Raw genomic sequence first — 26,555 nt, forward strand, 5'->3', positions numbered from 1 at the left:
GCATGTACCACCCTGCCCAGCTAATTTTTGCATTTTTATTATTTATTTATTTTATTTATTTATTTTTTGAGATAGAGTCTCACTCTGTCACCCAGCCTGGAGTGCAGTGGCGTGATCTGGGCTCACTGCAACCTCTGCCTCCCGGGTTCAAGTGATTCTCCTGCCTCAGCCTCCCAAGTAGCTGGGATTATAGGTGCCCGCCACCACACCTGGCTAATTTTTGTATTTTTAGTAGAGACGGGGTTTCGTCATGTTGACCAGACTGGTCTTGAACTCCTGACCTCAGATGATCTGCCCGCCTTGGCCTCCCAAAGTGCTAGGATTACAGGCGTGAGCCACCATGCCCAGTCTTTTTTTGCACTTTTAGTAGAGTCAGGGTTTCACCATGTTGGCCAGGCTGGTCTCGAACTCCTGACCTCAGGTGATTCACCTGCCTCGGCCTCCCAAAGTGCTGGGATTATAGGCGTGAGCCACTGCTCCCAGACTGAAGTTGAATGTAGGCATGTAATTGTTTCTAAAAAATTTGAATCTTGGCCGGCTGCAGTGACTCACACCTGTAATCCCAGCATTTTGGGAGGCCGACGCGGGCAGATCACGAGGTCAGGAGATCAAGATCATCCTGGCTAACAGGGTGAAACCCCATCTCTACTAAAAATACAAAAACAATTAGCAGGGCATGGTGGCAGGCACCTGTAGTCCCAGCTACTAGGGAGGCTGAGGCAGGAGAATGGTGTGAACCTGGGAGGTGGAGCTTGCAGTGAGCCAAGATTGCGCCACTGCACTCCAGCCTGGGCAACAGAGTGAGACTGTCTCAAAAAAAAAAAAAAAAAAAAAAATTCCCAGCACTTTGGGAGGCCCAGTCAGGCGGATCACCTGAGGTCAGGAGTTGGGAGTTGGAGACCAACCTGGTCAACATGGTGAAACCCTGCCTCTACTAAAAATGCAAAAATTAGCTGGGCGTGGTGGCGAGCACCTGTAGTCCCAGCTACTCCGGAGTCTGAGTTAGGAGAATCGCTTGAACCTGGGAGGCAGAAGTTGTTGTGAGCCAAGGTCAAGCCACTGCACTCTGGCCTGGGTGACAGAGCGAGACTCCATCTAAAAAAGAAAAGAAAAGAAAAATAGCAAATGAAGTGTCAGATCCATTAAAACTTGACTTCAAGATATTTTGTTTAAACTACTCCTTAAAAATAAACCTAATTATCAAATAAGTACTTGAACTCAGCTCCCAATTCAATAACATACTGTTTAATAATATCCACCTCTAAAAGACAAAGCAAAAAATATAATCTACAATCATTCGGACTCAAACAGTTTGGAAGGTGTTAAAATCAGGTCAATGCTCTGATTTGTATTTGGAAAGAATAAAATAGGACATAATTTTAGGAAGCACACAAATGGATAGTGTATTGTAAAAATAAGTATGCATTTATTACAAACGTATTTCAGAAAAATATGCCTACTAAAATATGATTACTTTTGACAACAGGCTGCTGCAAAAAGGGTGATGAGGAATATTATACCCACTTCTTCAATTATACCTCTGGTTATGTTGAAAAATGTCATAGTAGCTCTTAGGAGTTTTGCCATGCCTATGGGTTTATGGCATGATTTGCCTTTCATGTTATATTGACTTCCAACTTTAAAATTATATTTTATGATAGCGAATCAAATGCAAATCCTAGGAAAATTTCTTTTAAGAGATGGGATCTGGTTCCACTGTGTGTGCCACCATGCCAGGCTAATTTTTTATTGTTCATATATAAATATATATTTTTTTCTTTTCTTTCTTTTTTTTTTTTTAAGACATTGTCTCACTCTGTTGTTCAGGCTGGAGTGCAGTGGCACAATCTGGGCTCACTGCAACCTCCACCTCCCAGGTTCAAGCGATTCTCCTGCCTCAGCCTCCTGAGTAGCTGGGATTACAGGCATGTGCCACCATGCCTGGCTCATTTTTTCATTTTTAGTAGTGACAGTTTCACCATGCTGGCCAGGCTGGTCTTGAACTCCTATCTCAGGTGATCCACCTGCCTTGGCCTCCCAAAGTGCTGGGATTACAGGTGTGAGCCACTGCACTCAGCCTTTTTTAAAATTTTTTTTTTTTTTTTTTTTGAGACGGAGTCTCGCTCTGTCGCCCAAGCCGGACTGCCGACTGCAGTGGCGCAATCTCGGCTCACTGCAAGCTCCACTTCCCGGGTTCACGCCATTCTCCTGCCTCAGCCTCCCGAGTAGCTGGGACTACAGGCGCCCGCCACCGCGCCCGGCTAATTTTTTGTATTTTTAGTAGAGACGGGGTTTCACCTTGTTAGGCAGGATGGTCTCGATCTCCTGACCTCATGATCCACCCGCCTCGGCCTCCCAGAGTGCTGGGATTACAGGCGTGAGCCACCGCACCCGGCTAAAAATTGTTTTAGAGATAGGGTTTACGCTATGTTGCCTGGGCTGGTCTCCAACTCCTGGACTCAAGCAAACCTCCCTCCTCAGCCTCCTGAGAAGCCACTGTGCCCACCATGATTCTATCCTAGTATTTTATCTTTTTTCTTGTTGTTGTAGAGGCATTATCAACCGTTTAAACCCTCAAGACCAAATTATCTTTACATTTTTTTAAAGAGAAGATATCCATCCAAGGTTTTCCAACATTGCGTATTTGTCCTCCTTGCCAAAAAAGAGGGTAGAATAAGTAATGTTTAATTAATACTGAATTTTTTAATGTGCAAAAATCTAACTCTGCTTTTTAAAGCAAGTAGAAGGAGTGACAATATGGCACCATTCCAATAATCAAACACCAATAAAAATGGCAGCAGTACAACAATCTAAGCAAATCTCAAATACAACATACTTGTAATTAGAACACAATGCAATGACTTGATTTTAGCAAGAACTAGACACTTAATTTGGTAAAAGAAACCAAACAATGCATTATATTGAATACTAAGCTAAGTTACCATAATTAGTCTTACAAATTCTCAAATTTCACAACTACTTTTGAACATCTAAATTTAAACCTAAATTTTTTAATTAAATGCCTGTTCAACAAAGCTAATTGGAACAAACACATTTATGTAAATTTACATTCTAGAATACCAGGGTAAACAAGGAGACGTTATTCAAAGATGAATGAGAAAGTTCTATTCTTTTTCATCATTTGTGTGATCAGGTTGCAAAGGACATGCTCTGTGAAAAGAAGAGAGAACATCAATAGCCATCCAAGTATCAACTGTTTGAAAAAAATAGTTACAAACCTATATAAATCAGGAACATTAATTAACAGTGCAGTAGATCTGGTCTAATGACTAGAAATGAAAGAAAATTAAACTTCATTAATTAACAAACACCTACAAATTTCAAGTATTAATGCAACAAAATTTTTAACAATTTATTTGCCTGTTAATTTGCAGAATCAGTGTTTCTCCTTTAGACTACGTTGTAATTTTTATTAAAAAAAGAATCTATTTATATAGCATATTATTTCAACATGTTATTAAATGGATTGATAAACAATATAATCCTTCAGCAAGAACTTTGTGGTAACAAAAAGTAAAAAAATTAACCAATCCACTTTAGCAGAGAAAACATATAGCAAGTTGTCCTTTGACTATATATACTCTTTTGAACCATGTGATTACATTAACTAATTAGGAAAAACCCCAAATTGGCCAGACACAGTGACTTACACTCATAATCCCAGCACTTTGGGAGGATGAGGCAGGAGGATTGCTTGAGCCCAAGAGTTTGAGACCAACCTGGGCAACTTAGTGACACCCCATCTCTACAAAAAATAAAAAATCAGGCCGGGGTCGGTGGATCACGCCTGTAATCCCAGCACTTTGGGAGGCCAAGGTGGGTGGAACATTTGAGGTCAGGAATTCGAGACCAGCCTAGCCAACATGGTGAAAACCCATCTCTACTAAAAATACAAAAATAGCCGGGCAGTGGGGGTGTGTGCCTGTAATCCCAGCTACTTGGGAGGCTAAGGCAGGAGAATCGCTTGAGCATGGTGGGTGGAGCTTGAAGTGAGCTGAGACTGTGCCATTGCACTCCAGCCTCGGGGACAGAGAGCCTGTCTAAAAAAAAAAAAAATTAGTTGGTCGTGGTGGCACATCCCTATAGTTTCAGCGACTCAGGAGGCCTGAGGCAGGAGGATCACTTCAAGGTTGCAGTCAGCCATGATTGATTGTGCCACTGCACTCCAGCCTGGGAAACAGAGCAGGTCTCTGTGTCAATAAAACAAAAAAAGAAGAAGAAAAAAGAAAAACCCCAAAATTGTTAGCATAGAATAGTTGTAGCTTTTGAAAAATAATTTACATTATCCCAAAGTCAGGGAGGGCCCTGTGGCTCGTGCCTCTAATCTCAGCACTTCGGGAGGCCGAGGCGGGTGGATCACCTGAGGTCAGAAGTTCGAGACCAGCCTGGCCAACATGGTGAAACACATCTCTACTAAAAATACAAAAATTAGCCGGGCATGGTAGCAGGTGCCTGTAATCCCAGCTACTTGGGAGGCTCAGCCAGGAGAATTGCTTGAACCTAGGAGGCAGAGGTTGCCGTGAGCCAAAACTGAATCATTGCACTCCAGCCTGGGCAACAAGAGCAAAACTCTGTCTCAAAAAAACCCAAAAAAAAAAACAAAAAACAAAGTCATTTTGTACCCATTATAGTTTTTTTTTTGAGACGGAGTCTCGCTCTGTCGCCAGGCTGGAGTGCAGTGGTGCGATCTCAGCTCACTGCAACCTCTGCCTCCCGGGTTCAAGCGATTCTCCTGCCTTAGCCTCCCAAGTAGCTGGGATTACAGACATACGCCACCATGCCCACCTAATTTTTTTGTATTTTTAGTAGGGACGGGGTTTCACCATGTTGGCAAGGATGGTCTTGGTCTCTTAACTTCATAATCCGCCTGCCTTGGCCTCTCAAAGTACTGGGATTACAGGCATGAGCCACCGTGCCCAGCCTCATTACACTTTTTATGGAGGAAAAGTCAATTCAAAACTTAATCAAAAACTACTTTTTTTTTTTGGTTTATTAGAGCTGACAAAGATTTGTAAGATCTACTCTAAAATTCTTGGTTTTCAAATTAGATCCAGCAATCCTTGATGGGCAGAACCAGGTAGTGAAAGAAGGAAGTGAAAATGAAGGCACTCAGATTTGGTATAAGATTATCGTTGGCCCGGCGCGGTGGCTCATGCCTGTAATCCCAGCACTTTGGGAGGCCAAGGCAGGTGGATCATCTGAGGTCAGGAGTTCGAGACCAGTCTAGCCAACATAATGAAACCCTGTCTCTACTAAAAATACAAAAACAATTAGCTGGGCATGGTGACGCGTGCCTGTAATCCCAGCTACTCAGGAGGCTGAGGCAGGAGAATCGCTTGAACCCAGGAGGTGGACTCCAGCCTGGGCAACAAGAGCAAAAACTCTGTCTCAGTAAAAAAAACAAAAACAAAATAAGATTATCATTAACTCAGTATTAGATAACAAAGATATCTTCATTGTATTTTCCTGGAAATTAAATCAAATTAACAAATGAACATTATCATAACCCAGACTTCCTTTGTGCAAGCGCCTGATTTACTTTAGGCATCATAACTCTGTTAAAGGTTTAAGTAGATAGTCTTCCTTGATTCTGACTCTTCCCCCACGCAACTGCTGGGAGTTTACCCTGCCTTTGGGAGAAAAATAAGGCCATGGGAATAACTATATTCCATAGAGAGTTTATATCATAAATCCTTCTAATAAACTCATTTATTATTTCAATAAAGGGGTAATTACAATCCTCCTAAACAATGGCAAATCTAAGAACAGGACCTAAAGAAATAATATAAACCTCTATTACCTAGGTTTATGTCACAGATTTTATAATACCATGGATTAAAGTTCTTTATGAGAATACATGTGTAATCTCTTTTCATATGGTGGGAAGGCTATAATATAGGTTTTATTCCTGTGATGATCAGTGTTATAGTCACATTTGGCTATATTGCCAAATATTTTATTTCCTTGATGTAAGTCACAGGTAATTCAAGAAGTCTGAAATATATTCTAAAGCTAGTCTTGACTATCAGCTTGTTCCTGTTGGAAAAAAGAACGAGGAAGAAAGGTGCCAGACAATGACAGAGAACTAAAAGAAATTTATTGGATCAGGAAAGCAAAACTATTAAAAAGCTTTATCCAAAATGTATCCCTCTGGGGCCAGGCATCATGGCTGAGGCCCGTAATCCCAACACTTTGGGAAGCTGAGGTGTTAGGATTGCTTGAGCCCAGGAGTTCAAGACCAGCCTAGGCAACATAGCAAGGCCTGGTCTCTACTAAAAATTTAAAATTAGCCAGGAGCAATGGCATGCATCTATAGTCCCAGCTACTCAGGAGGCTGAAGTGGGAAAATTGCTTGAGTACAAGAGGTCAAGGCTACAGCGAGCTATGATCTCACCACTGCACTCCAGCCTGAGTAACAGAGCAAAATCCTGTCTCTTTAAAAAAAAAAAAAAAAAAAAAAAAATCCTGTCTCTAAAAAAAAAAGGGTATCCCTTTGGTTGATTTTTATGGAAACCAGAAATCATGATAGTGATATAACAACAAAGCCTAAGATTTAATTGCTGCTAATCTCACAACATGGATCATAGACACTCAATTACTATTTACTAAATGAGCTTATGAACAGCACTGAATAATTTCTTTTTTTTTGAGATGGAGTCTCACTTTGTTGCCCAGGCTGAAGTGCAGTGATCTCGGCTCACTGCAACCTCTGCCTCCCAGGTTCAAGTGATTCTCCTATCTCAGCCTCCCCAGTAGCTGAGATCACATGCATGTGCCACCATACCTGGCTAATTTTTGTAATGAATAATTCTCAATATTTTATATGCTTTCATATGTCAAATACTTTGTTTTAATTACTCTTTCAGCCATCTATTTTTATCTAGTTTGTGTTCAATGAAAATCCATTCCAAACACAATGTACAATCCAAAACAGATGTAACAGATATAGAATGTACAAATAAGAAGCAAAAGGGACTGTTCAGTCACACATACCATAGGTCAAGATCTGTTGGATCTGCTTGTTCCCATGCAGGTTTCTAAAGATGGCAAATATTGCCTTAAGACTTATTAAAGCTACTATGGCCATATGGGATACAGGAACAACTAAGCATCAGTGTGTGACCATGTGAACCAAAGATTTCATGGAGTGTCCTTTTTTTTTTTTTTAATAGAAACACAATCTGGCTCTGTCACCCAGGCTGGAGTTCAGTGGCACAATCATAACTCACTGCAGCCTCGAATGCCTGGGCTCAAGCGACTCCCACCTTAACCTCCAGAGTAGTCAGGACTACAGGTGTGCGCCACCATGCCCACCTAATTTTTTTTTTTTTTTTTTTTTGTGTAGAGACCATGCCTAAGCTGGTCTCAAACTCCTGGGCTCAAGCAATCCTCCCCCTTCAGTCTCCCAAAGTGCTAGGCATGCCTGGCCTCATGGAGTACGTATTTCTTTTTTTTTTTTTCAGACGGATTATCGCTCTGTTGCCCAGGCTGGAGTGCAATGGCATGATCTCGGCTCACTGCAACCTCCGCCTCCCGAGTTCAAGTGATTCTCCTGCCTCAGCCTCTGGAGTAGCAGGGATTATGGGCACCTGCCACCAAGCCCAGCTAATTTTTGTATTTTTAGTAGAGACGGGGGTTTCGCCGTGTTGGCCAGGCTGGTCTCGAACTCCTGACCTTGGGTGATCCACCTGCCTTGGACTTTCAAAATGTTGGGATTACAGGCACAAGCCACCGCACCCAGGCTGGAGTGTCTATTTCTAAAAAGGCTTCTATACATCAAGGCAGTTGTAAAAGTTTTACTTACCAGAATCAAGTCCACTTATGCTTAGGCCCAGGCTCTATCTAAAAATATTGACTAATTATAGAAAGTGTCCCAAATGTAGCTACTCAGACTCATAAAGTTGTTTTTTTTTTTTTTTTTTTTTTTTTTTAAGTATTTACAGAAAGAGCACAAAAGCATTGTGAATTTAATGCAGACAAATTTCTGGTCTTCACTTTGCAAATACAGAACCAGATTTGTTATTTTGCTTATTTCATGTTCTTTTTTTTTTTTTTTTTTTTGAGACGGAGTCTCGCGCTGTCGCCCAGGCTGGAGTGCAGTAGCGCAATCTCGGCTCACTGCAAGCTCCGCCTCCTGAGTTCACGCTATTCTCCTGCCTCAGCCTCCCGAGTAGCTGGGACTCCAGGTGCCTGCCACCATCCCCGGCTAATTTTTTGTATTTTTAGTAGAGACAGGGTTTCACTGTATTAGCCAGGATGGTCTTGATCTCCTGACCTCGTGATCCGCCCACCTCGGCCTCCCAAAGTGCTGGGATTACAGGCGTGAGCCACTGCACTTGGCTTTTTTTTTTTTGAGACGAAGTCTCACTCTGTTGCCCAGGCTAGGCTAGAGTGCAGTAGCGCGATCTCAGCTCACTGCAACCTCTGCCTCCTGAGTTCAAGTGATTGTCCTGCTTCAGCCACCTGAGTAGCTGGGATTACAGGCACTCACCACCACGCCCAGTTAATATTTGTATTTTTAGTACAGATGGGGTTTCACCATTTTGGCCAGGTTAGTCTCAAACTCCTGACCTCAGGTGATCCGCCGGCCTAGGCCTCCCAAAGTACTGGGAGTACAGGCATGAGCCGCCGTGCCCAGCCCACCGCTTAATTTCAAGATTAATCAAATATGACTTCAAAACAGATCAATTTTTTTTGAGACAGAGTCTCGCTCTGTCACCCAGGCAGGAGTGCAGTGGCGCAATCTTGGCTCACTCCACCTCCTGGGTTCAAGTGATTCTCCTGCCTCAGCCTCCTGAGCAGCTGGCATTACAGGTGTGTGCCACCACACCCAGCTAATTTTTGTATTTTTAGTAGAGACCGAGTTTCACCATGTTCTCCAGGATGGTTTCGAACTCCTGGCCTCTAGTGATCTGCCCACCTTGGCCTCCCAAAGTGCTGGGATTACAGGCATTAGCCACCGCACCTGGCCCAGATCAACTTTTTTTAACCCACCTCCTGCACAAAAAATGGTCAATTTTTAAGTTGTAAAAATTATTCAACATGTACAAAGTCACCTCTTAATTTCAAGATTAATCAAATACGCCTTCAAAGGAAATCAACTTTTAACCCACCTCCTGCACACAAAAAAATCAGTTTTTAAGTTGTGAAAATTATTTGACATACACAAAGATAAAAAGGCACTATTTTAAAATTACTTGAAGTCAATGCACTTCTAATTTTTGGAATCCAGTTAAGTATCGTAACTAAATCTGGCATTCTTGTTGAATTGGAATGGGTGATAGGAAATGCCTACTATTTCACTTTTAAGTGTATATGCAAGAATTAGTCATGCTTGGATTTGGAGTAAATTCCAGTCTATCATTGCTCTGGCACACTTCAATTACCACATAGAAAGTAAAATGCAGGGCTGGGTGCGATGGCTCACACCTGTAATCCCAGCACTTTGGGAGGCCGAGGCGGGTGGATCACAAGGTCAGGAGATCAAGACCATCCTGGCTAACATGGTGAAACCCCGTCTCTACTAAAAATACAAAAAATTAGCCGGGCGTGGCGGCGTGCGCCTGTAGTCCCAGCTGCTGGGGAGGCTGAGGCGGGAGAATGGCATGAACCCAGGAGGCGGAGCTTGCAGTGAGCCGAGATAGCGCCACTGCACCCCAGCCTGGGCGACAGAGCGAGACTCCATCTCAAAAAAAGAAAAGAAAAGAAAAGAAAGTCAAATGCAATGGCAAATCAAATCCAAAGCCCTAAAGAGTTAAGTGCCCTTGGCCAGGCGCAGTGGCTCATGCCTGTAATCCCAGCACTTTGGGAGGCCGAGGCGGGCAGATCACAAGGTCAGGAGATCAAGACCATCCTGGCCAACATGGTGAATCCCATCTCTACTAAAAATACAAAAATTAGCTGGATGTGGTGGCACGTGCCTGTAATCCCAGTTACTCAAGAAAGGCACAAAAATCGCTTGAACCCAGGAGGCGAAGGTTGCAGTGAGCCAAGATAGCACCACTGCACGCCAGCCTGGGCAAGAGTGAGACTCCTTCTCAAAACAAACAAACAAAAGAAACAGAGTTAAGTGCCCAAGAGAAGAGTGAAAACTTAGCAATGTAAATCTAGAGCATATCAGCATTAAATTAGGATGGCTGAAACAATACATAGAATATTTATAGTAACACCTGGTAGTTTCTTCCAATGCACATATATAATAAATAGAATCATGGAAGCTTTTTCTATTACCTAATCATTTTACAGCCTTGTAGATTTAACAAACTAAAATGAAAACTGAATCTCCATTCCATAGCTTGCTAAGTAATTTTTGATGTTCTCTTTCTCCTCTGTCTTATACGTGAAACTCCAACAGATTTAATATTGGCATTTATCATCTAGTCAAATCCTTCAGATGCTCTTTAAACCAGTCCAGTTTGAGACTCTCAAGCGTTTCTCTGTTAATAAGGAGTGAAATTAGTAGATTTGATGAAGACCTGGTTTTTTTCCTTGCCACATTGAACTTCTAGGCACCATTTGGATTCGGTTTTAGTGTATGGGTTGGAGAACTGTAGCTGTTTCTTGACCTGCCTCTTAATGGTAGAGATGTAGAAGGGCAAGCAAGACCACAAGGAGACCGGCTGTAGGCTGTAGGGCACTGTTGGAGGGCTTTGTGGTTTCGGCTGCAGTAGCTTCCGGCATACTGGTTAAAGGAACAAATGAAGAAACCTGCACGGGTAGGAGCAGCGCCAGAAGTAGCAGACCCAGAATGAGCATCGCCACCATCCCCTTACCCATTTGGATCAGTGTGCCGTGTGTCCAGCTTGCTGCTCAGTGTGCTGGAGGATGGGTGGCTCCTGGCTGGTGCAGGGGAGATAGCAAGTAGGGTCTTATATTCAAGGGGCATCATAATGGCAGTGACATCACTCCCTTTCCTCCTACATCCAGACAAGTACTTTGTTTCGAAACAAAACATTTAAGTTGCTTAGAAAGCCTGGACCTTATTAATTACAAATCTATAAAAAGGCAGATTTCGAATCTTTTTTTCCCAAGTGGCGTGATTTTTCCCTTGGTTTTTTTTTCTGTCCCATATGACCTTCAGAAATTTTTCTTGATTCTTAAAAGTGATGCAAATTTTTTGTTAAAAGTTGTTAGCACAGGGTATGAGAAGAGGTTTTTACCCAGAGATAAGTATTATTGATATTTGGTATATTTTCATATAGTACATATACATGTATTTACACAGTAAAGATTGTACTTTTGTATCCAGAATTTTGGGTTAACAATTATTGTGAGCATTTTCCTGTCATTAAAAATGTAAAAGGTATGGTTTCATTAACTTCTTAAAAAGTTTGTGGCCGGGTGTGGTTGCACTCGCCTGTAATCCCAGCACTTTGGGAGGCCGAGGCGGGCAGATCATGAGGTCAGATTGAGACAATCCTGGCTAACACGGTGAAATCCCATCTCTACTAAAAATACAACAAAATTAGCCAGGCGTGGTGGCGGGCGCCTGTAGTCCCAGCTACTTGGGAGGGTGAGGGAGGAGACTGGTGTGAACCCGGGAGGTGGAGGTTGCAGTGAGCCGAGATTGCACCACTGCACTCCAGCCTGGGCAACAGAGCGAAACTCCGTCTCAAAAAAAAAAAAAGTTTGCACACTGGCCAGGTGTGGCAGCTTATGCCTGTAATCCCAGCACAGTGGGAGGCCAAGGCAAGTGGATTACTTGAGCTCCGGAGTTTGAGACCGGCCTAGGCAACGTGGCAAAACCTCATCTCTACCAAAAACACAAAAAATTAGCTGAACTCCATGGCACATGCCTGTAATTCCAGCTACTTGGAAGGCTGAGGTGGGAGAATCAATCGAACCCAGGAGGCAGAGGTTGAAGTGAGCGAACATTGGGCCACTGCATTACAGCCTGGGTGACAGAGTGAGACCCCCATATCAAAAAAAAAAAAAAAAAGGAAGAAAGAAAGAAAAAAAGGAAAAAAGGAATGAGATATTCATGAAATACAACGGATGAAACTCGGAAACTTTTTTTTAAAGGTTGCACACCAAGTTTGGTGTGTGTAGTTTTATCCCTACTTTTTGTTTTTCACTATTCTTACGTACTTACAGAGAAGTTGTAAAGACAATACACCATGGTATTATTCCTAGTTGGTTCTAGGTGATGGGGATTTCTATATTTTCCAACTTTTCCATATTGGTCATATTTTTATTTTTATTTTACTTGATTTTTTTTGAGATGGAGTCTCGCTCTGTCCCCCAGGCTGGAGTGCAGTGGTGCGATCTCAGCTCACTGCAACCAACACCTTTCAGGTTCAAGCAATTCTCCTGCTTCAGCCTCCCGAGTAGCTGAGATTACAGGCACGTGCCACCACGCCCGGCTAATTTTTTGTATTTTTAGTAGAGACGGGGTTTCACCATGTTGCAGGATGGTCTCGATCTCTTGATCTTGTGATCTGCCTGCCTTGGACTCTCAAAGTGCTGGGATTACAGAGGTGAGCCACTGTGCCAGGCCTATTTTTGAGACAGGTCCTCACTCTGCCACCCATGCTGGAGTACAGTGGCGGGATCTCGGCTCACTGCAACCTTCATCTCCCAGGGTCAAGCAATTCTCCCACCTCAGCCTCCCTAGTGGCTGGGATTATAGGCGGCGCCGCCACCCTTTTGGTAGAGAAGGGGTTTCACCATGTTGCCCAGGCTGGTCTGGAACTCCTGAGCTCAAGCGATCTGCCCACTGTAGCCTCCCAAAGTGCTAGGATTACAGGCATGAGCCACCGCACACAGCCTGGTTATATATTTCTTGTGCAAGTTGAACTGGTAGTTTTTTAAGGGACAGGATTAATGGAATTCAAGTTATATAAGCCAACAAGGAAATTGCCTTGTAAGAAAAGCCTAAAGGAAAAAGACAGTAAGAATTAAAGACTCAATACACTAAGTTCATGGTTAATGACATAGCACTTATGTGAATGGGAACTGATCCTCTTTGAGAGATTGGGAAGAGTAAAAAGAATACTTTTTACTAATGTTTGAAATTTGCTGGCTGGATGCAGTGGCTCACGCCTGTAATCCCAGTACTTTGGGAGGCTAAGGTGGGTAGATCACAAAGTCAAGAGTTCAAGACCAGCCTGGCCAACAAGGCAAAACCCTGTCTCTACTAAAAATACAAAAATTAGCTGGGCGTGGTGGCGTGTGCCTGTAATCCCAGCTACTTGGGAGGCTGAGGCAGGAAAATTGCTTGAACCTGGGAGGCGGAGGTTGCAGTGAGCTGAGATAGCGCCACTGCCCTCTAGCCTGGGCAACAGAGCAAGACTCCGTCTCAGGAAAAAAAAAAGAAAAGAAATTTGGGAGTGAGTTATAATAAGAAATTAGAAGAAGTTTTTAAAAACTTTTTTTGCATTTTCTTATGAGCTTGAAGAGAAACTTGACTCAATATCCTATTTGTCCTTTATTTTCAAGATATTTTCTTTATTAATTAATTAATTAATTTTTTATTTGAGACAGAGTCTCACTCTGTCCCCCAGACTGGAGGGCAGTGGCGTGAAAATGAGATACATGTGCATTACATGCAAGTTTGTTATATAGGTATATGTGTGCATGGTGGTTTGCTGCACCAAGCAATTCTTTTGTTTGAGCCTCCCAAATAGCTAGGACAACAGGTGTGCACCAGCACGCCGAGCTAATTTTGTATTTTTAGTAGAGACAGGGTTCCACCATGTTGGACAGGCTGGTTTTGAACTCCTGGCCTCAAGTGATCCTCCCGCCTCGGCCTCCCAAAGTGCTGGGATTACAGGCGTGAGATAAATATTTTCTTTATATTCCAGAATATAAAAACTTACTTTCTCTTTGCTTTTCCTAAGCCACTGCTTCCTGCCTCTTCAGGAATCTGATTCTCTTTTTCAGAATCTTTAGGGGACAACCTAAAGAATTCTCCAATTCCTTTTTGCCACTTGGGAGTTGGGCGCACGCAAACGGGGTTCCCTCCTGCATATTTATTTTCAGCTGTAAAATATAAACAGATGGAACTAGATAAGTGCTAATAATACAATCTCTATTCCTTAAACAACTTAATTCCTTCTTTAACATCAAATTCTCAAAGGTATTAAATAATCTTTATTTAAGATATACAACTTAAAGAATTAGAAAATGTGACACAATAAAGCTGTATTCCACCAATAAACTCAGTGTGATGGTTATCTTAGCAATAACAGTAGTAACAGAATTTTTACAACTGAAAAATATTTTTATATTTTGTCCACAAGCAGAGCTATTCAAATACTCTTGCCGGGTCCAGTGGCTCACGCCTGTAATCCCAGCACTTTGGGAGGCTGAGGAGGGTGGATCACAAGGTCAGGAGTTCGAGACCAACCTGGACAACATGGTGAAACCCCCGTCTCTACTAAAAATACAAAAATTAGCTGGGTGTGGCGGCACGTGCCTGTATTCCCAGCTACTTGGGAGGCTGAGGCAGGAGAATCACTTGAACCAGCGAGTCGGAGGTTGCAGTGAGCCAAGATTGCGCCGCCACTGCACACTCCAGTCTGGCAACAGAGCGAGACTCTGTCTCAAAAAAAAAAAAAAAAAAATATATATATATATATATATATATATATATATATATATATATATATATATTCTTGTATGTACTGACATACTGAAGTTTGACACACTTTTTCCTAACATAAGATAGGACCATGTAGTATAAAGTGCCAACATTTTACTTACTAAGGTCATTTAGTTAAAGCACATATAAGAGGCAATGTGAAAGTCTCCACAAAAGTAGATTCCATTTTTCAAAGCACCTGGCTCCTTTTCAGTTCATAAGAGAAGTCCAATTCCTGGTGTTTTTTTTTTTTTTTTTTTTTTTTTTCAAAGTCTAGCTCTGTCACCCAGGCTGGAGTGCAGTGGCGCAATCTTGGCTTACTGTAACCTCTGCCTCCCGGATTCAAGTGATTCTCCTGCCTCAGCCTCCCGAGTAGCAGGGATTACAGGCGCCCGCCACCACGCCCAGCTAATTTTTGTTTTGTTTTTGTTTTTTTGGGGGGGAGACAGAGTCTCACTCTGTCACCCAGGCTGCAGTGCAGTGGCACGATCTTGGCTCACTGCAAGCTCCGCCTCCCGGGTTCATGCCATTCTCCTGCCTCAGCCTCCCGAGCAGTTGGGACTACAGGCGCCCGCCACCACACCTGGCTAATTTTTTGTACTTTTAGTAGAGACAGGGTTTCACCATGCTAGGATGGTCTCGATCTCCTGACCTCATGATCCGCCCGCCTTGGCCTCCCAAAGTGCTGGGATTACAAGTGTGAGCCACCCTGCCCGGCCAATTCCTGGTTATTTTTCAACAGTAATATAAGGAGAAATTGAGGGAAAATTCTTGCCTTTTTATAAAGTAATGACCAGGAACAAATTATTCAGTTACTGCAAATCTTTTGCTTTAAGCTAAAACATTTGCTTTAACAACTCTAGTTGTTAAAGAATGCTTACAAAAGTTGTTTCCATATAGACTCTGAAGTTATATTGTTTCTACTTATTTATTTACATTTATAAAAATAGCAATGGGGTTTTGCCACGTTGTCCAGGCTGGTCTCAAACTCCTGGCTGAGGCAACCGTCCCGCCTTCGCCTCCAAAAGAAGGAATGGCATATAAAAGATAGTGATCTTTTGGTTCACAGTTTTCCCAAAGGAACCTTACAGGAATGCTTTTACTACTAGAAAACATACAGCAGCAGCTGGGCGCAGTGGCTCACGCCTGTAATCCCAGCACTTTGTGAGGCCGAGGCAGTTGGATCATGAGGTCAGGCATTTGAGAACAGCCTGGCCAACATGGTGAAACCCTGCCTCCACTAAAGATACAAAATTTAGCCAGGCATGGTGGCGCATGCCTGTAATCCCAGCTACTTAGGAGGCTGAGGCAGAAGAATTGCTTGAACCCGGGAGGCGGAGGTTGCAGTGAGCCGAGTTCATGCCACTGCACTCCAGCCTGGGTGACAGAGCGAGACTGTGTCTCAGAAAAAAAAAAAAATATAGCAGCAACAGGTTCAAACCCAACTCCACTGATTTAGTTGTGTGACCTTTATCAAGTTATATAACCAGATATTAAATTTCCTTATCTTTAAAATAAGGATATTACCCATTTCATACATCCAATTATTCGGATTAAAAATAGAGATTTTTAAAATGCCTTAAAGGATGCATTTATTCAACATATATTCAGTAAGGGCCTATTTAGTTGGCTCTGGTGATTCAACAGTGGACCAGACGATGAGATGCGGCTCTAATGAAATTTCATCAGGCCAGGCGTGGTGGCTCACGTCTGTAATCCCAGCACTTTGGTAGGCTGAGGCGGGAGGATTGCTTCAGCCCAGGAGTTCGAGACCAGCCTGGGCAATGTGATGAAACCCCATCTCTACAAAAAACACAAAAATTAGGCGGGCGTGTGGTGGCATGCGCCTACAGTCCCAGCTACTTGGGAAGAGCCTGAAGTGGGAGGATCATTTGAACCCTGGGGTCAAATCTGCAGTAAGCTGTGATTGCACCACTGCACTCAAGCCTGGGCAACAGAGTGAGACCCTGTCTCAAAAAAAAAAAAGAAAAAAGAAAAGAAAAAGAAACTTAGTCTAGTGGTACAGGGTATAAGTTACTCTAAAAAAATTCATCAACTTCTATTTCCTTTTATCTGAAGAGATAGAAATAGTAAATGTTTTCTAATGAAATGTTTATAATAGGGAGAAATTTGAATTGACTTTAAAACCCATGAAGTCCTAAACAGTGTTCACCTTTATGTTCTTAATTAAATCTTGTAGCGTTAATCTCCCTGTCTGCCAAATTTCCTACTGAAAGGAATGAGGCACCAGATGGCAGGGCATTTTCTCATCTACTCCACGCACAGAAGGAGCAGCGTGAAGCTATTTCCTTTGCCGGGTTTCACTCCTACTCTCCCAAAGACAGTATTAGGAGCTGCAAAGTTGGAGAAAACCCACAGACATCATACTCAAACAAACAAACAAACAAAAAAGAGTAAGGAAGAAAGGAAAAACAAGCAAACAAAAACAAAAACATTTTTATTAAAGTTTAGTAGACATTGCAATGAGCACTCAGCACTGTTAACGATTGTTCAAACCCTTAATCTACTAAGGGGGCTTTTAAATAGCCTCTAACAATATTTAAATAGCCTCTGTTATTATTAAGAAAAATAATAGCTGGGCGTGGTGGATCACGTCTGTGTTCCCATCACTTTGGGAAGCTGAGGCAGGCAGATCATGAGGTCAGGAGTTTGAGATCAGTCTGGCCAACATAGTGAAACCCCATCTCTACTAAAAATACAAAAAAATTAGCTGGGTGTGGTGGCGTGCACCTGTAATCCCAGCTACTCAGGAGGCAGAGGCAGGAGAATCGTGTGAACCCGAGAGGCGGAGGTTGCAGTGAACCAAGATCACACCGTTGCACTGCAGCCTGGGCAACAGTGCAAGACTCTGTCTCAAAAAAAGAAAGAGAAAGAAAAAGGAAAATACTAAACCAAAAAACAAAAATTGATAGGCTGGCTGTGGTGGCTCATGCCTGTAATCCCAGTAGGAGGATTGTTTGAGCCCAGGAGTTTGAGACCAGCTTAGGCAACATAGTGAGACCCCCATCTCTACAAAAAATAGAAAAAAAAGCCCGGCGTGGTGGCATGTACCTGTAGCCCCAGCTACTTTGGAGGCTGAGGTGGGAGGATTGCTTAAGCCCCATAAGTGGAGGATGTAGTGACCAGTGATTGCACCACTGCACTCCAACCTGAGCAACAAAGAGAGGCCCTGTCTAAAAAAAGAAAAGAAAAGAAAAATAGGCTTGAAGATAAGGTGTGTCGGTCCTTAACTCCAAGGCTTGAAATTCCCTTCCATGAGACCTCCCCCCCACCTCTACCCTAGCCGGCCAAAAGGCCCAGCCTCTCTTATTATATCACAGGGCAAGGAAGAAATTCGGGCGTGAGTACCTCAAGAAAAAGAAATTCATGGCAAGCCAGGGGCTTGCAGGTGCCAGGACTGATCCCCTAACTTTAGGAGGGCTCTTCTTACCTTTCCTCGATGAAACTGATGTCGAATTAGTGGCAGAGGTGGAAGAACCAAGCACCTTTCTGGGGGCTCGAGCAGCCACCACTGTGAAGAGAGGCAAAAAAGGGTGTTCAGAAGGGGCAGGAGGGTTCCGACACCGAGTCCTGGACCCCAGCAGCTTGGAGAGGAGAGCCTGGCGATCCAGAACAGCAGGATAACCTTACCCTGCCCCTGCGACTTCCTCTTCTAGGTAAAGGGGCCAGGCGGCTACTCCCTGGCTAGCTAGATGAGTTTGGCGCACAGGGCCCAGGGGGACCTCTGGCGTCTGTCGCCCGTGGCCAGGCTGCCGGGAGGACCCCCCCGCCCTCCAGTACCACACTCGATCGCCTCACCTTTTCTGTAAGTGCCTGGAACACTGTCTGCTTTAGTCCGCACCATGTTCAAACAAGAAGAGAGGAGAGGAGAGAACGAACTGACTTCCCAGCCGAGGGTGTTTCACTGGACAAGGACCCGAAAACTATCCCGCCACAGTTTATATTGGTCTCTTTCCCGCGCGCTCCAAGGTCTCTCCCGAGCCACCGCTCCCATTGGTTCCGCGCCGTTCCCCCTGAACCAATTGCCAATGCCCAGTGGTGACAGCGGCGAGGCTTCTTGCAGCGCGAATCCGTCCATCAACACGCAAAGGCCTAGGATTCGTAGGCGCCCCAGGTGGGCGGTACCAGGACTCTCCAGGGGTACCCGACTAGTGGGTGCTAAGTTTCTGAACTACAGAAATGAGCCTGCTTAGAAAAGAAAACCTAGCAAAGACAGCGAATTACAAACGATCTTCAAAAGTTACTATAGCTTTAAGTCCATAATGATTGACTCCTGGAGGTGAAACCTGAAATTAAGCGGACTTTTTGATGCAAATCAAAATTAAAAGAACTTGAGAACTTTCCTTTAGTCCCCCAGGCATGAACTCTTTGTACAGCATCCATACTAAAACAATTCTATGGAATGGGGAAAAGGAAGCTAATACAACTTGTTTACAAGGGTTTTTTTAAATGTCTTTAGGATGATGTGAGACTAAACAAAAACTAGGGGGATTGTATATACATACACACATAAAAAGAAACTAATAAAACGTCTTCTTGAGAACCGAATGGTGTCAGAGCTCCTAAATAATCTGCCAAATCTGCCAGGAGCGGGGACTCATGGCTGTAATCCCAGCACTTTGAGAGGCCGAGGCGGGCAGATCGCTTGACCCCAGGAGGTCGAGACCAGCCTGACCAACACGGTGAAACCCGTCTCTACAAAAAATATACAAAAATTAGCCGGGTGCAGTGGCATGTTCCTGTAATCCCAACTACTCGGGAGGCTGAGGTGGGAGGATGGCTTGAGTTCAGGAGACGGGAGATTGCTTGTGCCTAGGAGGGAGAGGTTGCAGTGAGCCATAATCACACCATGCACTCCAGCCTGGGCGACAGAGCGAGATCCTGTCTCAAAAAAAAAAAAGAAAGAAAGAAAGAAAAGAAAAGAAAGAAAGAAAAGAAAAGAAAAAAGAAAAGAAAGGCAAGGCAAGGCAAGGAAATGAAATGAAACGAAACGAAACGAAAAGACCCTGCCAAATGTGGTAAGACCACATCGCTGTCACACAGTGAGCATAACTCTAGGATAAAGGGTCATAATTTTTTTCTATCTTTATGCTTACCTTCTAATTACTCACAACACCCCTGGGGAGTGATTTTCACTCTCTAAATACCATACATAAAACAGAATCGGTCAGGCATGGTGGCTCACACCTGTAATCCTAGCACTTTGGGAGGCCGAGGCAGGCAGATTGCCTGAGCTCAGGAGTTCGAGACCAGCGTGGGCAACATGGTGAAACCCAGTCTCTACTAAAATAAAAATAAAAATAAAAAATAAAAAATTAGCTGGGAGTGGCGGCATGTGCCTGTAGTCCCAGCTACTCTGGAGGCTGAGGCAGGAGAATTCCTTGAACCCGGGAGGCGGAGGTTGCAGTGAGCCGAGATCACGCTACTGCACTCCAGCCTGGGCGACAGGGCGAGTCTCCGTCTCTAAAAACAACAACAAAAAACAGGATCAGATGAACTTGCTTTGGGATGTATTCTGTTAAATGCTCACTTGAAAGGCTACTCTAGAAGTGTAAACACAGCATTAATTCTCTCCAATGAATTGCTCGAACTTAGAATTAGGCTACTCAGTACTTTAACAGAATCAACAACTGCACTCTGTAACACAGATTTAAGGAATCTAGGCAACAGGTTAAATTAACACAATAATAGAAAATGTATTGGCAATTACCTGTAGTTTTGTCTTAACCTTGGTATCTAAGGTTACAGCCAAATCAACCGGAAAAATCCACAAGACCCAGGGCATTCCTTTGTTTTTTGTCCTCATGGCCCATCTCATTGCACAGTGGTTTTTTTGTGTGTGTGTTTTTTTTTTTTTGAGATGGAGTCTCACTTCTTCGCCCAGGTTGGAATGCAGTGGCGTGTTCTCGGCTCACTGCAATCTCCGCCTCCCGGGTTCAAGCAATTCTCCTGCCTCAGCCTCCCACGTAGCTGGGATTACAGACACGTGCCAAAACACTCGGCTAATTTTTGTATTTTCAGTAGAGACAGGGTTTCACCATGTTGGCCAGGCTGGTCTCAAACTCCTGACCTCAAGTGATCTGCCTGCCTCAGCCTCCCAAAGTGCTGGGATTACAAGTGTAAGCCACCACACCTGGCCAGCACAGTGGTTCTTAAATGCCATTATTTCCTTTCCAGTTTAAGTGGCTTCTACATAGGTCTGAATTACTTAATTTGAACTTATATTCCAGATTCCTGCAGAAAGAATAAGATAGTCTTTTCTCCTTGCCCACCTGCCAAGCAAGTTGCCAGAAAGAGTATCAAATATATATTTCCACCCGGGGCAGTCTACATATTACTATAGTTGTGTGTTTGTTTTTGTTTGCATGTTTGTCATTTTAACACCAACGATGATAATGAAGAATGCATGCTAGAGAAAAAAAAAAAGTGCTGATGCCTAGTAAAAGTTCTTCATTGAAATGTTTGCTTTGCAGAAGCAATTAAACACAATTTTTATAATGAAATAAAACACAGAGAGTGGTGTGGAGTGAACCTGAAAATTTCAAAGGCCTAGGGCATTAAGAAAAGTTACAGTATGTATCAATACAATTTCTGCCTAAATTTATTTATTTTATTTATTAATTTTGAGACAGAGTCTCACTCTGTCATCCAGGCTGGAATGCAGTGGCACGATCTCAGCTCAATGCAACCTCTGTCTCCCGGTTCAAGCAATTCTCATGCCTCAGCCGCCCATGTAGCTGGGATTACAGGTATGTGCCACCACATCCAGCTAACTTTTGTATTTTCAGTAGAGACAGGGTTTTACCATGCTGGCCAGGCTGGTCTTGAACTCCTGACCTCAGGTGATCTGCCTGCCTCGGCCTCCCAAAGTGCTGGGATTACAGGTGTGAGCCACTGCAACTGGCCTGCCTACATTTATACCAAAGAAAATCTTGGCCGGCGCAGTGGCTCATGCTTATAATCCCAGCAATTTGGGAGGCAGAGGCAGGTAGATCAACTGAGGTCAGGAGTTCGAGACCAGCCTGGCCAAAATGGTGAAACCCCATCTCTACAAAAATACAAAAACTAGCCAGGCATGATGGCTGGTGCCTGTAATCCCAGCTACTTGGGAGGCTGAGGCAGGAGAATCACTGGAACCTGGGAGGTGGAGGTTGCAGTGAGCCCAGATCATGCCATTGCACTCCAGCCTGGGTGATGGAGCAAGAATGTCTAAAAAAAAAAAAAAAAGAAAAGAAAAGAAAAAAGAGATCTTTAAGTCTTGCTAAATGGGTGTGCTTGCATTGCTCAGGCAGAAATGTAATTTAACAAATGACAGTAATAATAAATTGCATTATAATTACATCATAATTAACATATGACTTATGAGAAAAGAATGCCTTTTTCTTTTTTTGAGACAGGGTCTCACTCTGTCACGCAGGCTAGAGTGCAGTGGTGTGATCACAGTTTACTGCAGCCTCGCCTCCTGAGCTCAGGTGATCCTCTTCCAAGTAGCTGGGAACACAGGAGCTTGCCACCACACCTAGCTAATTTTTAGGTTTTTTTTGTAGAGACAGGGTCTCCTGATATTGCCCAGACTGGTCTCGAATTTCCGAGTTCAACCAATCCTCCCACCTCAGCCTCCCAAAATGCTGAGATTACCGGTGTGGGCTACGGTACCCAGCCACCTATGTTATTCTGGAGGACGTACTTATCATAACATGTATGACATACTAAATTATATTATATGAAAAAACTTAAGTCATAGTCTCTGCCTTCAAGCACTTAATGTTTTAGTTATGGAGACTGTTATGGTTAATTTTAGGTGTCAACTTGACCAGATTAAGAAATACCTAGAGGGCTTGTAATCCCAGCACTTTGGGAGGCCGAGGCGGGAGGATCACCTAAAGTCGGGAGTTTGAGACCAGCCTGACCAACATGGAGAAACCCCATCTCTACTACAAATACAAAATTAGCCGCGCATGGTGGCACATGCCTGTAATCCCAGCTACTCGGGAAGCTAAGGCAGGAAAATCGCTTGAACCCGGGAGGCGGAGGTTGTGGTGAGCCAAGATTGCACTATTGCACTCCAGCCTGGGCAACAAGAGGAAACTCCATCTCAAAAAAAGAAAAAGAAAAAAAAAAGAAAAAGAAAAAGAAATACCTAGATAACTTGTAAAGCATTGCTTCTGGGTGCCTTTGAGGGTATTTCCAAAGGAGACTGGCATGTGAGTCAGTGGACTGAGTGGGGCAGATCTGCTCTCAATGTGAGCGGGCACCATCCAATTAACCAAGGACCCAGAACAAAAAAGGTGAGAAAAAATATTTCTTCCTTCTGGAGCTGAGACACTCTTCTCAGACTTCTGCTCCCAGACATCAGAACTCCAGGCCCTCCACCTTGAGACTTGAAGATTTCACAACTTGGACTGAGCCAGCTACCAGCATTCCAGGGTCTCCTGCTTGCAGATGGCCTGTCATGGGTCTTTTCAGTCTCCATAATTTCCTGAGCCAATTCCCTAATAAATCTCCTCATAGATCTGTATCTATATCTATCTGTTATCTATCCTATTGGTTCTGTCTCTGGAGAACCCTAACACAGGGACTGAATAAATAAACAGGTAAATGACTTTGATACCTTACAATTATTATTAAATGTAGTGGAGTTTTACAAAGAAACAAAACTTGTACCCACAATTAATAAACATTCACAGAGTATTTTGACTTTTTCTTAAAAAAAAAAACCCTGGAAAATCATCTGCTTTCCAAATTAATGATATCTACGACAATCTAAATGGAATGTAAATCAATACACTTATGAGGTTTTGTTTTGTTTTTGTAAAAAGGCCTTGCTCTGTCGCCCAGGCTGGAGTGCAGTAGTGCAATCAGGGCTCACTTCAAGCTTGACCTTCCAGGCCCAAGTGATCCTCCCACCTCAGCCTTTCAAGTAGCTGAGACTACAGGCATGTGCCACCATGCCAGGCTAATTTTTTTCATTTTTGTAGAGATGAGGATTCTCCTTATGCTGCCCAGACTGGTCCGGAACTCCTGGGCTCAAGTGATCCTCTTGCCTCTGATTCCCAAAGTGCTGGCATTACAGGCATGAGCCACCACGCCCAGTGTGTGTGTGTGTGTGTGTGTGTGTGTTTGTGTGTGTGTCTCCGTGTGCGCTCGGGTGATCCTCCCGCCTCGGCCTCCCAAAGCGCTGGGATTACAGGCATGAGACACTGCGCCCGGCCAATACACTCATGATTTTAATTATAATATTTATGCCAATGAAAACACTAGCAAAAAGGTAAAACAGCTGCCAATTTAATGTGACCACTTAGTCTAAACAGGCTAGTAGAAATGAAGAACTTTTAACCTGCAAATGCAACAAAAAGCCAGAAATGAATGGGAAGACATTATGATCTCCAGAAAAGTTTGGCTAAATTTTCCCCAGCCCATTGTCTTAGCGGGGTAGGGAATTGCAGACAGCCCTTAAATACTGTCATTTTTGGTTGAGAACTCATGTGGAAAGTCCTCAAAGCCAAATTCCAACTCCTGTTTTACTGTTTTTTACCCTCGAGCTTGCTGAGTTGTCTTGGCTCTCCTGGAAAATACATGGCTCAAAAAATAAAATAGAAGTTTTAGCGGTGTGAATCTAGTAGTCGACTACAGGGGGTATTAAAAATAAACACTCCATCCCGGTTAACACGTGAAACCGCGTCGCTACTAAAAATACAAAAAAAATTAGCCGGGCGTGGTGGCGGGTGCCTGTAGTCCCAGCTACTTGGGAGGCTGAGGCAGGAGAATGGCATGAACCCGGGAGGCGGAGCTTGCAGTGAGCCGAGATCATGCCACTGCACTCAAGCCTGGGCGACAGTGCGAGACTCCGTCTCAAAATAAATAAATAAATTAATTAATTAATTAAAAAATTAAAACCACCACCAGAGCAAAAACTTACAGCGCTTACAATACCTTCCACGTGCTGTTTTATTTTACATAAAACCATGACGATTAAAAAGCTGGCCTCTCAGCTTTCCGGGTATTGGTTTGTTTTCCCCCTAAACTGTCGTTTTTATAGGCACTTGCACTGTCTTCTTAGCAGAATTGCCAATGGCCTTCCTCGAGTCCTACGTTTAGCGATTGGCAAGAATCATGCACTGACAGAGCTCGACTCCGGAGGGCACAAGGAAGTAGACAACAAAGCAGGAAGAAGCAGGAGGCGCACAGATGGGCGGGATCTGCACTGGAGGCGGTGCGACCTTGCGGGGCGGTGCAAGCTGGCGGAACCCGCGTGAGAGAGGTTGGTGTTGCGAAGGGAACTAGTCCGGTGCAGGACGTGGGGCTTTTGCAGCTCAGCTGGTTCCGGCTGGGGAAGATGGCGGTGGCTGGGGCGGTGTCCGGGGAGCCGCTGGTGCACTGGTGCACCCAGCAGTTGCGGAAGACTTTCGGCCTGGATGTCAGCGAGGAGATCATTCAGTGAGAACAGTTCGGGTCCAAGCGGGGAAGGAGCTCTGGGATGTGCACTGCCTGAGCGAACCGGGAAGCGGGGAGGACTGAAAAGTTAAGAGAGAAATGTGATAAAGGGGCTGCAGTCTGTAGTCTGTAGGCGTCGAATTTTGGCCTCCACCTTTGTAGTTTAGTTTCTGGAATAGGGTGTCCGGCTCCACAGTCTGCCGGTCGGGCTTTTTTCCTGGGAAGACGCCCAATCTGTAATAATTAGAAATGCAAGGCTGTCCCAGGAGCCAGTTTCCTTTCTAGAGAGAAGGGGCAGGTCAAACTGTATTTCCTAACTTTGAACCCCTTACTCTTTTATTTATTTATTATTATTGTTGTTATTATTGAGACGGAGTCTCTGTCGCCCAGGCTGGCGTGCGGTGGCGCGATCTTGGCTCACTGCAACCTCCGCCTTCCGGGTTCAGGTGATTCACCTGCCTGAGCCTCCCAAGTAGCTGGGATTACAGGCACGCACCACCACACCCGGCTAATTTTTAAAAATTTTTAGTAGAGTCAGTGTTTCACCATGTTGGCCAGGCTAGTCTCCAGCTCCTGATCTCAAGTGATCCGCCCGCCTCGACCTCCCAAAGTGCTGGGATTACAGGCATGAGCCACCGCACCCAGATATACTCTGAACATTTTAGTCGGCCCAATCTGAGTTGTGTCAGTAGAGCCAACAGGGTCAGCTGTGTCAATAGGACCTAGAATTTAAGTGGAAGCAGCGTGGTAGAGTACAAATAGCTTCTGACTCTGGAGTCTCAGGTTCTATATTCTGTTGTCGTTTACCTGTTTTAGAACCCAGGACAACTTAATTTTTCTCTCTGTACCCTGGTTTCTTCATTTATAAGATTAATCATTAGTAGAGCTTATCATGCTTTATGACTCCTATGAAATGGAGATGGTGTACATGACTTAATATCTACTTTCAACTGATTGAAGAACATTTGTTGCGCTGCTGTTACACGCCAGGTGCTGGGGTAACAAAGACAAGACAGTTGGGTTCCCCTTCGTTGATGAGTGCTGAGGTTGGGGAAATGAAGGGGCTTGTTGGAGCACAAAATAAAGGATTCTCATTAAGATTTGAAAAACTCGGAAGGTTTATTGGAAAGGATAACTTTCACCCGAGAACTAAGGAATAGACAGAGGTGGCGGTCCAAAGTGTTCAGGCAGGGGAGAAAACTACAAAAATGGGACTTGATCGAAGAACTGAAAGTGTTCCTTCATTTGATTCCTTGGTCACTGATGTTGAAACCTAAATTGCTGTTCTAGGGCTTTTGTAGGAAGTAAGATGAGTTTCTGAGTTTCGGAGAAAATAGACTTTTGGCAAGGAGACAGTTCAAGTAGGTTATTTTAATGGATTTTTTTGAGGCCCTAGGAGATGGCTCAAGCCCTTATTCCCAGCACTTTGGGAGGTAGAGGTGGGAGGATTGCTTGAGACTGGGAGTTGGAGACCACCCTGGGCAACATAGTGAGACCC

General features: G+C 43.9%; 2 protein-coding genes across 6 annotated transcripts in view, besides 5 other annotated features; one reads left to right on the forward strand and one right to left on the reverse strand.

Annotated features, from left to right (window-relative positions):
* Positions 1-1,399: 1,399 nt before the first annotated feature.
* Positions 1,400-24,783, reverse strand: PCLAF (PCNA clamp associated factor). 3 transcript variants are annotated; one of them, NR_109934.2, is made up of 4 exons: positions 24,543-24,783; positions 18,054-18,134; positions 13,839-14,001; positions 1,400-3,171 (listed from the first exon to the last, which is right to left on the reverse strand). NR_109934.2 is itself a non-coding variant. In NM_014736.6 (4 exons), the coding sequence occupies exons 1-4, from the start codon at positions 18,465-18,467 to the stop codon at positions 3,126-3,128; spliced, it is 336 nt and encodes a 111-aa protein (NP_055551.1). In that variant the 5' UTR covers positions 18,468-18,537; the 3' UTR covers positions 1,400-3,125. The 3 variants fall into 3 exon arrangements, 2 of the variants coding, with proteins under 2 accessions (NP_055551.1, NP_001025160.1); NM_014736.6 differs by lacking the exon at positions 24,543-24,783 and adding an exon at positions 18,422-18,537; NM_001029989.3 differs by lacking the exons at positions 13,839-14,001; positions 24,543-24,783 and adding an exon at positions 18,422-18,537.
* Positions 18,198-18,708: an enhancer, noted in NCBI's record as "H3K27ac hESC enhancer chr15:64673301-64673811 (GRCh37/hg19 assembly coordinates)". NCBI's record gives its function as "activates a minimal SCP1, AML or CMV promoter by ChIP-STARR-seq in naive H9 embryonic stem cells {active_cell/tissue: H9 hESC(naive)}" and the evidence as "EXISTENCE:reporter gene assay evidence [ECO:0000049][PMID:30033119]".
* Positions 24,647-25,147: an enhancer, noted in NCBI's record as "H3K27ac hESC enhancer chr15:64679750-64680250 (GRCh37/hg19 assembly coordinates)". NCBI's record gives its function as "activates a minimal SCP1, AML or CMV promoter by ChIP-STARR-seq in naive H9 embryonic stem cells {active_cell/tissue: H9 hESC(naive)}" and the evidence as "EXISTENCE:reporter gene assay evidence [ECO:0000049][PMID:30033119]".
* Positions 24,647-25,218: a biological region, named in NCBI's record as "H3K27ac hESC enhancer GRCh37_chr15:64679750-64680250".
* Positions 24,729-25,218: an enhancer, noted in NCBI's record as "active region_9567". NCBI's record gives its function as "activates an Ori minimal core promoter by ATAC-STARR-seq in GM12878 lymphoblastoid cells {active_cell/tissue: GM12878}" and the evidence as "EXISTENCE:reporter gene assay evidence [ECO:0000049][PMID:35858748]".
* TRIP4 (thyroid hormone receptor interactor 4) overlaps positions 24,932-26,555 on the forward strand; it is a 67,468-nt gene continuing 65,844 nt past the window's right edge. For 2 of the 3 annotated variants that reach the window (NR_135855.2, NM_016213.5), the window contains exon 1: positions 24,932-25,060. Coding sequence is in view for 1 of the 3 variants with exons in the window: in NM_016213.5 (NP_057297.2) it covers positions 24,960-25,060 (101 nt within the window). In the remaining 2 variants the exon portion in view is untranslated. Of the gene's footprint in view, positions 25,145-26,555 lie in introns of all 3 variants that reach the window. The other variant, NM_001321924.2, reaches the window with a different exon arrangement.
* Positions 25,148-25,648: an enhancer, noted in NCBI's record as "H3K27ac hESC enhancer chr15:64680251-64680751 (GRCh37/hg19 assembly coordinates)". NCBI's record gives its function as "activates a minimal SCP1, AML or CMV promoter by ChIP-STARR-seq in naive H9 embryonic stem cells {active_cell/tissue: H9 hESC(naive)}" and the evidence as "EXISTENCE:reporter gene assay evidence [ECO:0000049][PMID:30033119]".

Source organism: Homo sapiens, chromosome 15 (assembly GCF_000001405.40).
Source record: "Homo sapiens chromosome 15, GRCh38.p14 Primary Assembly".
Classification (NCBI taxonomy): domain Eukaryota; kingdom Metazoa; phylum Chordata; class Mammalia; order Primates; family Hominidae; genus Homo; species Homo sapiens.

What these genes read in the sequence shown, in the direction of transcription:
- PCLAF (NM_014736.6), bottom strand. Translation starts at nt 18,467, where the DNA reads ATGGTGCGGACTAAAGCAGACAGTGTTCCAGGCACTTACAGAAAAG. An exon ending in ATCAGTTTCATCGAGGAAAG is followed by an intron (nt 14,002 to 18,053) that starts GTAAGAAGAGCC and finishes TATATTTTACAG; the next exon opens with CTGAAAATAAATATGCAGGA. An exon ending in TTAGGAAAAGCAAAGAGAAA is followed by an intron (nt 3,172 to 13,838) that starts GTAAGTTTTTAT and finishes TTCTTTTCACAG; the next exon opens with AGCATGTCCTTTGCAACCTG.